Genomic DNA, 12,448 nt, shown 5'->3' on the forward strand with positions numbered 1-12,448 from the left:
TCTCCGCTCACTGCAACCTCCGTCTCCCAAGTTCAAGCAATTCTCCTGCCTCAGCCTCCCAAGTGGCTGGGATTATGGGCATGTGCCACCAAACCCGGATAACTTTTAGTAGAGACAGGGTTTCACTGTGTTGATCAGGCTGGTCTTGAATTCCTAACCTCAGGTGATCCACCCCCCTTGCCCTCACAAATTGCTGGGATTACAGACATGAGCCACCACATCTGGCCTCCTATTTTGTTTTGTTTTGTTTTGCTTTTTCCTGATTGCATTATCTTTCATAATCTTAATCTCCTCTGTTGACACCCTTTTCTTTTGCAGAACTCAAAAGACTGGCTCCCTCCAGTAGCATCCTCAATTTTCTCTATTTACACACTCTCCTTAGGAGATCTTATCTCATCCTTTGATCTCTCCCTTATACATTAACCTGCTCCTCGTTTTAGTAAATGGCCATACCATCTACCCAATAAGTTCTCCTGACCCCTCTCTTCTCACAAACACTACATCTAAATAGTGGGTAAGAAGTGGTGGCTCATTCTCTAAAAATATTCCTGAAGTCCCAGTTTTATTATTTCCAATGCTACCCATTCTCTATATTATAGCCTAATTGATCATTTTGATTTTTTTTAAAGAATCATGCTGTTGCCCTCAGTTTAAAACTCTTCAGTACCCACCCATCACATTTAGAAAACAGACTAAGGAATGGGCACAGTGGCTCACACCTGTAATCCCAGTACTTGGGAGATCAAGGTGAAAGGATCACTTCTGCCCAGGAGTTTGATACCAGCCTGGGCAATGTCATGAGACCTCACCTTTACAAAAATAAAAATAAAAAATTAGCTGGGTGTGGTGAGGTACACCTGTAGTCCTAGCTGCTCAGAAGGCTGAGATGGGAGAATTGCTTGAGCCTAAGAGTTGCAGGTTACAGTGAGCTGTAATCCTACATCTGCACTCCAGCCTGGGCTACAGGTTACAGAGTGAGACTGCCTCTAAAACAAAACAAAACAAAACAAAAAGAGGAGAGGAGAGGAAACGGGCTAAGCTCATTATCTTGATTCACATAGTGACCTATGTTACCTGACCTTGATCTTACACTCCAACTTCATCTCATACCACTCTACTGCTAGCTCACAACTCACCAACCACCTGGATTTCTTTCTGTTCCTCTAACAAGTTCACCTTGTTCCTTGTTAAAGACATTTTCATTACTCCCCCTTTTCTTTCCATAGTTGGTTACTTCTAGTCATGCACAGGGTAGCTTTGAAAAACACCAGTTCCAGCTGGGCATGGTGACACACACCTGTAATCCCAGCACTTTGGGAGGCTGAGGTGTGAGGCTCACTTGAGCCCAGGAATTCAACACCAGCCTGGACAACACGGCAAAACCGCACCTCTACAAAATATACAAAAAAGTGGTCCATGCCTGTAGTCCCAGCTATTTGAGAAGCTTAGGTGGGAAGATCGCTTGAGTCCGGGAGGCAGAGGTTGCAGTGAGCTGAGATGCTGCCACTGCACCATCTTGCCTGGACAAAAGAGTGAGACCTTGTTTCAAAAAGACAAAATCAAACCAAAACAAAAAAAGAAAAACACCAATACAGAAAATATTTTCCAGAAATCCCAAACTAATCATCCAGTCATTCTGCATTATATCACTCTGTTTCATCTTCTGTATTTCCTTATTCTCCAACCTGAGACACTAGAATATAAACTTCATGAAAGTAGAGGCCTTATCTGGATTCGTCTGTATTTCAGCACCTAGAAGAGTGGCTATTTCAGCACCTAGAAGAGTGGCTCACTAACATTACGTGTTGCGTGGTAGATTGCTGAATGAGAGAACAAACGAATGTAAACAAACAAGGTGGTAGTAAAATGAATTTTCATCAGCTAGATTCTAAACACATGAGAAAGATAAAATTCAGGGGATATATTCTGTCCTTCTTTAGATTAGTTTGGGATTCTGGATAGGTGTTTGCAGATCAATTTCATGTCAAAATAGTATGGAGCTTTTGATAGAGTGGTCATTCTACTCTGACACAAAACCTAACTGCTCACATGAATACCAAATAATCCCTTACCATGTCTACATAAGAACTGGGTTTATTCAGACACACAAGGCATTTTATATGTTTTTTGAATAAATATGTATTCTATTTTCCATGTACTGTGTTAACTTTGGAAAATATAAGTGAGACAGAGTCCCTTTCTCAGATCCCTTGATCTAATGCAGATAGTAGAACAATAAATACAAAATTAATACTACAACATGAAAAGTGAAATAATATTATAGGAAGGTATTATAGAGCTCAGAGGCTGAATAACACAGAGAAGGCATCTTTGGAAGATTCTCAAAGCAACAGAAGAGTTAGGTGAGAACTGAGAAAAACAGAATGAGGCATAGTGTCAACAAAAGAAGGGAATCAATTTACCAAAGCCAGTGGAAGAAAACTCTCAAGTAGACAGAAGTAGATAAAGCACATCAACAGCATAGCTTAATGGTAATAACTGGATCCTTTTAGACTGGGTTTGCATTCCAGCTTCCCTGAATAGGAGTTGTGTGTCTTTTGGGCAAGCTACTTATTATTTCCTTCTACAGAGGAGAACCATGGAGGCTTGGAGAGCATTGTTCATTACCTCAGAGGGGCATTGTGAGGCTGGAATGAGACAATAATAGGTATAAAATATGTAACGTCACAGTTCTTGGCACATGAGTGCCCCGTGAATTTTGCAACACTCAGTTGAGAAGCACAAAGTGACAGGAAATGAGTTAAAGGGATAGACAGGAGCCAAATTAAAGAGTCTGGATGTTGATTGTCTGAGAATTTGTAATTGTTGCTGCTTTGAATTCAGATACGTTTAACAGAAAAAATATACCTCTAAGGGTTCTCAGTTGTTCCCTTCTAAATACTGCTGGGGGAGGTGGCATTGCCTGTTAGATACACAGTTTAGTTGTTTCAATATTGCCTGTATTGATTATTAGCTGAATCACCTGTTTCAAATTATTTAAGCTTTCACCTCTTCTTTTAAAATCAGGAATAATTTTGGCAGCTAACTTATTAGGTTTTTATGAGAATTAAACATATTAAATCAGTGTAAATCACTTACATTTTGAGAGATATTAATATCAACAAATGCACAATAAATAGGAGCAGGCGGGGTGTGGTGGCTCATGCCTGTAATGCCAGCACTTTAAGAGCTGGAGGCAGAAGAATTACTTGAGGCCAGGATTTTCACACCAGTCTGTGCTGCATAGTTAGACCCTATCTCCAAAATAAATAAATAAATAAGACCAATGCAACAGGCATGGTTCTGGTTTTCTCATTTTTTTAAACAAGGCTTCTCAAGTTCAAGGATGTCTGTCAATAATGCAAAAACAGAAATTAAAGTAAAAAGTGCATAGATATAGGTATAGATATAAAATTAAATTCCTATCAATGATAAAGGAAAGAAAAAAAAATGGCCCAAATCTAAGACAGCAGGTTCAAAGAAAACTCAAGTTCATCACATTTACTGCAATGGAAGATCCAGTATTGTTGCCCATTATAGTCAGGGCCTTACCATCAGCACTTTAGTGAGGAGAACATTTGGCTTTTGAGTCTGACACTCCTGAGTTTGAATTGAGGTTTCATTCTTAAGAACTCTGTGATGTTAGCAAATTCTTAAACTTTTGGAGACTTTTAAAAATTGTTTCTAAAGAAGACGTGAGATTATCCATACAACAGGGTCATTGTGAAGATTAAATGCAATGGTAAATGAGAAATGCACTCTATCTTTGTTAATAGAATTTGCATCGGAATGATCACAAAGTCAGCTGCTTCTTAAAAAACGGTTATTACTGCTCAGAGAGACACATGGTAGCTGGCAGGATACTCAAGCCTCAATCAGTCCTGCCAAAAGGCCAATTTCGTTTTGTGCCTAGATGCATGATTAAAAAAAAAAAAAAAAAAAAGATTCAAGTTTATCCACTCCGATATGTCATCTTTCTTACCCTCAAAGGTTACCTGAACTCATAGGCAATGTGGATCTCTGGGAGCATCCCTACTCAAAGGTTAGCTGCAAAGTCTAAGTTTGCTTAAGAGTTAAGAACTTGACAAGGAAGAACAGAGAAGAGCAGACGGTTGAGGAGTGCTAACACCTTCTTTAGGAAATCCAAACCCAGGGAGTCATCAGCAAAGGCTGAGGGATTAGCTTCAAGGAAAATAGCTATTTCAAGACACTGAGGAGAAATTAGAAACGACCAGCTGGTGTGAATCAAGAGAAATATGTTGCTAAAAGGTAGTGGGGCAAGCTGTTTACAGGGAACTAGGCTTTCTAACAGCTTTCTCAGGCACCGTGATTTTTTTGTTTTGTTTTGTTTCTTTCACTATTTCCTCCGATTTTTCTTCTAAATCCTTTGGAAGGCTGTAGAATGAATGGCTGTAAAATGTGAAAAGAAACGTGGCTGAATCAAAGGATGCTTTGTGATTTCTCTTTATTTTAATGAGTCACAGGCAGAATGGATTTTGGCATCTTCAAAACTGCTATCTGTCAAAGGATTCTCAAAAATTTGAGTTCACCTTCCTGTTCTGAAGTTTCTACTGCCTCCTGCCCACTCCTAATATCCCACTTGCACACAGGAAAACATACACACATGTGCATGCACACACACACAGAGGACCTCTGAAACACACTCATGGCCAAAGATCTACCCTGCTGTTTTGGAGAAGACCACCAGGTGTCCTCTAGTGGTTCTTTTGCTTTTTCTGGCCTAAGATCCTTCAGAAAATTGTATAGTCAAAGACCCCACAGGAAGTTTGAGCAAGACTGGGAACTCTTTTCTATTTCTGTAAAGCAAAAACTATGTCTTCAAGAAACAGTGGAACTCACAAGAATTGAAGATTGTGTGTCTTTCATGGTGCCTAACAGAATTCTAAAGAAAGCATTAGTTTTTACACCTAGATGTAAAGTATTCTTGGAGAAGCAATTTAGGGAAAATTAAAGGAGATAAATTTCAGAGCCAGGCACAATAGGACTTGAGTTCCAGCTTCAACAGTTGATGCTTGCTCAAGCTTTTACTTTCTCCTTTGAGGTAGGCAATAGAATCATGCTTATTTAATAGGTTAGGAAACTGGCGTTTGATAGGTCACAGCTTTGGTACATAGTAAATGTTCAATACACAAGTTTTCTTCCATCTTTTCCCCTCACATACATTAACCCTCTTGATCCTGAAAACAGATGCAATTTAGGTGAAACAGGGTTACTCTGAAGGTCAATGCCACAAAGCAACTTGCCCAAGTAGACACTGCCTATCAAGCTATCTGTTGATTCTATTCTGCACAATTTGGACTCCTAATAAATAATTCCTAAACTGAATAGCAATACTTCTCTTCTTCTCTTGGGTGATGCAGAACAATCTTAGGTGCAGAATTTATAGAGCAGAAGAGAAATGATTGATGTTCCATGTAGAACACAGAATCAAACTGTGTGGTAACTAAGATTGGCAAAACTGTTATCTGTTTCCTGTGTAAATGTTCAACTCTCCTATTTACCAGGTAGATGTCAGTATAAGGAGTTTGAAACATCTCTGCTTCCTAAGCCCAAGAATTTCAAGACTGATCAAAAAACAGTGTCACAAACAGTACCAAAACAACTTCACCCCATTATTTAATTCTATACATGAATATTATTTCTAAATTGAAGTATATTTGACTTAAGATTGAGTATGACTATTATTGCAATGACTACAAAGACATGAGGCAAATATGATTTTTCTGCAAGGCAATAAAATATTTTTATATGAAAACAGTTTGAATTAAAAATTATATTAAATGTGTCAAAGAAAATGTTGAACATTCCCCAAGCACATATTTTTGTACCTATACCATTCAGGGATAGATTAAACTTCTTTTCAGTCACATGGATTCATCAAACCTGTATTGCATTCCTATCATTTGCCAGAGAAGTTACACACAGGAATGATGAATAATACATGGTCCCTGCCTTCAAGGAGTTCTCATTCTAGGTTGAATTTTCTCCCCCTATATATGTGAGTCTGTGGAAAGTAAAATAGAGCAGAATTTGTTTCAGACAGTGTAAATCTGAGGGAAAGTAAAAAACATTTTTTCCTCTAAATGAAATAACACATTCCTTTTCAGACTTAATATATGAATGTGATTTTTTTCTTGTTCTACATGTTTGTTTTAACTCATTCTTTAAAAAGCTTCATTCATTATTCTAGAGTATTACAAGTTATGTCTAAGATTAAAATAAATGTTAAATGGTTTTAATATATATTTAAATGTCAACACTGAATTGTTATTGGTCAACTTACAGAGCTATTAGGGCTCTGTTCTCAAATAAGGGATGGCTCGAGAAAATGAAAATAACCCAAGGGCATGCTCAGCTGATGGAATTTTTATCCATACAGTGAGATAGTCAGGCAAACTCTGTGGTCAAGAGCACAGGTCTTCCAGTAACGTGCCATTCACAGTCTCCATTAAATCTTCCCTGACCCTATTTCTGTCCTGGACTAGTTATCCAATACCCAAGAGCCTCACATTTGATACTGGCACAATAATGAGAAAACCACACAAAAATCAATCAATCATACAAACGTATGACCCTAAATTTGGGGAAAAACTAAGAAGGTGTTTGGAGGGAGCTGATTCTGTAAAAAATAACATAATGGAAGAGACAGATATTAAAATATGTATGAAAGCATTAACTTAAAACTGCCTATAAGAATTAGCTTCTGAGGATTTCTGATCTCCTGCTTCTCTGCTCGTTCTGATCTAATCATTGTCGGGTATATTTTAAAAAATATATCATGAAGTTGGAAGAAGTTGAGAACACAGCCAAAATCTAACATCATCTAGAACAGTGCCTCCCCAATAGTAGACACACTACTCATTCATTATTCACCAAATATCTTTCAATATGTAACCAGAATACAATGAGGGCTCCAAGTGGAAAATATGCTGTCCCCCAAAGGTTATCTAAATTCATAGGCAATGTGCATCTCTGGGAGCTTCCCTACTCAAAGGTTAACTGTGAAGCCTATATTTGCTTAAGAGATAAGAACTTAACAAGGAAAAACAGAGAAGAGCAGACAGTTGAAGAGTCCCAACACCTTCTTTACAAATACAAACCCAGGGAGTCATTGTTGAAAGAAACAATAGCCCAACAATAGATGTTAAATCCGTAGCTTTAAGCCCGCTCAAGAAAATGCTAAAGACGAGAGTATATTCTAATTGTTGGAACAGTGTCTTTTTAAGAAATCTTCCTTTTTAAAATTTTTATTCTTAATATTTTTGACAAAAATAGAAAGTAATCTGTAAAACTCTTCTTTCGAATCGCATAACCCATCCCGACATCAGTGGGTCACACAAGTATACTAATCCCATGGAGGTGAAAGTGGAGAAGAGAATGAACATGTTCAAAAGTAATCTTACATATCAAAAGTGTTTAAATGCATTTTTGTAAACAGTACCTACCGTGTGTATCTTATCTCACATCTCTAAATTGGAGATACACAGTAGAGGTCAGAATTTAAAAAGTTCTGATTACTCTTGCAATGAAGAAACATATTACAATTTAAATAACTCATGAGTCTTGTAGTTGATATTGAGAATCTCTGTTTCACATTGTCGCAGCCGCCAGACTAAAGACATGGGTATCAGGCTTTCTGGGAAAGGACTCTCTAACAACCCCTGACTCTTTGGAGTTGGGAGCGTAGAAGGCAGCTGGACTTCCTGGGTGGAGTGGGGACTTGGAGAACTTTTCTGTCTAGCTAGAGGATTGTAAATGCACCAATCAGCACTCTGTGCTAGCTAAAGGATTGTAAATGCACCAATCAGCACTCTGTAAAATGGACCAATCAGCACTCTGTAAAGTGGACCAATCAGCAGGAAGTGGGTGGGGACAAATAAGAGAATAAAAGCTGGCCACCCCAGCCAGCAGCAGCAACCTGCTTGGGTCCCCTTCCACACTGTGGAAGCTTTGTTCTTTCACTCTTCACAATAAATCTTGCTGCTGCTCACTCTTTGGGTCCACACCACCTTTAAAAGCTGTAACACTCCGCCAAGGTCTGCAGCTTCATTCTTGAAGTCAACAAGACCGAGAACCCACTGGAAGGAACCAACTCTGGACACAACATGACATCTATTAATACCTTATAGGATATGCTTGGGAAAATGTTACAGTTAAGACATTTTGGCTGGACATGGGGACTCACATCTGCAATCCCAGCACTTTGGGAAGCCAAGGCGGCAGATCACTTGATCCCAGGAGTTCGAGACCAACCTGGGCAACATGGCAAAACCCCATCTCTACTAAATAATAATAATACAAAAATTAGCCAGGCATTGTGGTGCATGCCTGTAGTCCCAACTCTCAGGGGGCTGAGGTAGGAAGATTGCTTAAACATGGGTGGTTGAGGCTGCAATGAGCCATGATCCTGCCACTGCAATTCAGCCTGGGTGGCAGAGCAAGACCCTGTCTTAAAAAAAAAAAAAAATCCTAAGCTTCATGAACCACTGCATCACACTGGCAGTTGCTATTCCCTGGCTTCTTGCAGCATATATAGCCTGAATAATCCTGAAATCAAGACAGTCAGGGACCTACAAATGAGGTTGTACAGCAAAATTATCGATAAAGCACTTTCTGTCTATAAAGGATGAACACAATATACTCCCTGGTAAGTGATACAGGTTGTAATACAGAAGGCAAGCCTTTTTGATCTCAAATGAATTTTTTTTTCTTCCTCTCTGACTTCTCTGTTGAGAGAAGGTGCAAGAGATAAGACAGAGAGTAGGATATTTTTAGCTGAGAAGCAGCTCTTCATAAGAAAGACAACTTCAGGGAAATATTGCTGGTAGGTACTAGATTTTACTCTATTTACCGGATGTGCATAAGAGTTCAATACTTATTGTTGAGTGAATCAATGTTTAAAAAAATTAAATGATTTGAGTGCAGAGTAGCAGAAGGGATGCGACTGGGTGTCTATCCCACTTATGACTTCTGCTTAATGGCTTTGTGACAAAAGTTACAATATAAAGAACTACGGTGTCAAGATATGAGACTGCATTGTCTTAACTTTCCTTTGAAAATAATTGAATAACAAAATATCTACTTCATTTCTTATTTTCCCCCCAAAACCAGTTTAAATATAATTCCTTGTTATTTATATTTTTATGTCATTAAAACCGCATATTCACTATACAGCCATAAAAAAAGAACAAAATCATGTCTTTTGTGGGAACATGGATGGGACGGGGGCCATTACCCTTTGCAAACTAATGCAGGAACAGAAACTCAAACATTGCATGTTCTCACTTATAAGTGGAAGCTAAATGATGAGAATTCATGAACATAAAGAAGGGAACAAAAGGCACTGGGGTCTATTTGAGGGGGAAGGGTAGGAGAAAGAAGAGGAACAGAAAAGATAACTCTTGGGTACCAGGCTTAATACCTGAGTGATGAAATAATCCATACAACAACCCCCCATGACACAAGTTTACTTATGTAACAAACCTGTACACTTACCCCCGAACCTAAAATAAAAGTTAAAAAAAACCTCCACATTCCAGTCTTTGGATAACTAGTAATCATCATCATCATCATCATCATCATCATCATGGCAGGTATATTTGAATGGGCACTTTCTTTTTACCAGACATGATGCTGAACAATACACATATATTTCATTTTATCTTCCCAATACATGTATAAAAGATGCCATATGGGCCGGGCATGGTGGCTCATGCCTGTAATCCCAGCACTTTGGGAGGCTGAGGCAGGCGGATCACGAGGTCAGGAGATCGAGACCATCCTGGCTAACAAGGCAAAACCCAGTCTTTACTAAAAATACAAAAAAAATTAGCTGGGCGTGCTGGCGGGCGCCTATAGTCCCAGCTACTTGGGAGGCTGAGGCAGGAGAATGGCATGAACCTGGGAGGCAGAGCTTGCAGTGAGCCGAGATCATGCCACTGCACTCCAGCCTGGGCAACAGAGTGAGACTCCGTCTCAAAAAAAAAAAAAAAAAAGATGCCATATGATCTTCTTTTTGTATATGACAAAACAGAACTCAAATAATTTTTTTAAAAAACTGTCCTAGGTTATTCAACTAGCGTGAAAATACTGGGATTCCTTTTTTTACATATTGCAATGGATTTCACATTTTACTATACTGAAGTCAAAAGCCTGAAGCAGCTTCTAAACTACCATTATCCTTTCCTCACCTACAGCACTTTTATAGGATGTTAATTCCTTCATGCCTCTCTCTCCTCCTTTTCTCTTTACTTATTGAAAGGGTTATGATTTCCCCATGAGCCACTACATTAAACAATAAAATACTGCAGGTATCCCTCACCAAGAGGAAATACATTTAAAATTTAATAATGAAATCAATGGGAAACGGGATTTGCTTCACAAGAATTTGTCAACTTTGCTGGAATTCATTCATTGTATAAGCTAATAGAAAACTTTGATGTGGAGAGAAATGGAACAAACTCCCAAGAAGTTACTGAATATTATCGAAGACAGTGGCCATGTCTTCTACTTTATCTGTGTGGCTCCCAAAGTTGAACTCTTTAGAGCTGATGTTGACTAATTGTCTGTTAAAACGTCTTTTTTGAGATTTGTGAAAATTATAATTCTCATTATTAATAGGAGTCAAAATAATGAGCAAAATAAACTATCATTTCTTCCATGGGTTTGTGAAATAGGAATAAAATACCACTACCACAGCTAAAGAATACCACAGAAGAACTCCATTCATTAATTAATTCAAAAATAAATATATTTTGAGCTCCCTTACTGTGCTAGGTGCTGAGAATATAATAATGTACAGTTGGATTTGGGAGACAGACTTATGGTTTTACTTATGGCATTTGTGTTGCTAAGTGTTATAAAAGATAGGTATTGGGCATCATGTAAGAATGAATAAAGAGGTTTGGCTTCATGGAGAAGTGCCAGGGAGAGCTTCTCAAATGAAGTAAACATGTAAAAGATTTTCAGAAGGCTGGGAGTTAGCAGGCTGGTTGCTGAAATGGCAGAGGAGGTGAATTCAAAATAGAGGAAATACATCATGAAAACCATGGAGGAAACAATCTATGCAAAAGTCAAAAATTAAAAGAGGCTAGAGCTGGAGGAATGCAAATACTGTTGAAGAGGTTGCATGATCTGCAGAAGGTTGAATAAGCAAGCAGGGGCAAAATTATGCAATGTTTATTAGGGATCCTCGGAATGTTATCTCCTATGGGCAATAAAAAATAATTTATGTGTTGTGCTGTCTCGAATAATTTTCACAAAATGCAAATCAAATTATATCCCCTCTATGATTAAGTGTAGAGCACATATTGGGAATCAGAGCAAATGGATACAAAGAGATGACTTAGAATACCTAGGTAACAATTCAAGGAGGATCTTCATTTGCATCCTGCTATTGTCTGTGTTTTTATGTCTCCCTAATATTCCTATGTTGAAATTTAAATCCCCATGTGAGGATGGTAGGAGGTAGGGCCTTTGGGAGGTGATTAGGTAACGTGGGCTGACTCACTCTCCTGAATGGGATTAGTGCACTAATATAAAAGGATCCACTCTCAATCCTTCCACCATGTGGGGACACAGAGAGAACTTGTCAGAAGGTGCCATCTATGAACCAGAAAGTAACCCATAACCAGACACCAAATGTGTTGGTGCCCAGATCTTGGACTTCCCAGGCAGCCTGAACTGAATGGACTAAGACAGAGCTCAAGGGTAGAGGAATAAAGAGAACTATATAAATTAATACAAGACATATTAAGAATGTATAATTTTCATGGAGCAGAGCTTTCCATATTTCTCATACTTCTGCTATTCTTCTTCATCTACTTGATATTTTTTCTGTACAGGAACACTATTAATTTATTTCTTGCTCACCATGAAATACATTTTAAAATAACTTGTCATATTGTTATTAATGGGAAAACTGATGTCATATTATGAAGAGAACATTACAAATACAGTGAAAAAGAAAACTATATATAATGCTAGTTCTTGTCTCCCAAAATTTCTGAGTATGAGACCAATTTTTCTTACAAAAAAAAAAAAGACACTGGAGCCAGTCCTGGTGGCTCATGCCTGCAATCCCAGCACTTTGGAAGGCAGAGGTGGGACGATTGCTTGAGCCCAGGAATTCGAGACCAGCCTGGGCAACTTGGCAACACCCTGTCTCTACAAAAAAATACAAAAACTAGCCAGGCATGGTGGCACATATCTGTAGTTGCAGCTACTTGGGGGGCTGAGGCGGGAGAATCGCTTGAGCCCAAGTGGTCGAGGCTGCAGTGAACTGGGATTGTGGGATTGTGCCACTGTACTCCAGCCTGGGCAACAGAGTGAGACTCTGTCTCAAAAAGAAAAAAAAAACTTTATATATATATATATATATATATATATATATAAAATACCTTAATAACATGCTATCTACTATATAGAG

At 38.5% G+C, this 12,448-nt stretch overlaps 1 protein-coding gene across 5 annotated transcripts in view; it reads right to left on the reverse strand.

The window, feature by feature from the left end:
* CDH8 (cadherin 8) overlaps positions 1–12,448 on the reverse strand; it is a 389,189-nt gene that overhangs the window by 294,265 nt on the left and 82,476 nt on the right. The gene's annotated exons all lie outside the window — the stretch shown is intronic.

Source organism: Homo sapiens, chromosome 16 (assembly GCF_000001405.40).
Source record: "Homo sapiens chromosome 16, GRCh38.p14 Primary Assembly".
Lineage (NCBI taxonomy): Eukaryota > Metazoa > Chordata > Mammalia > Primates > Hominidae > Homo > Homo sapiens.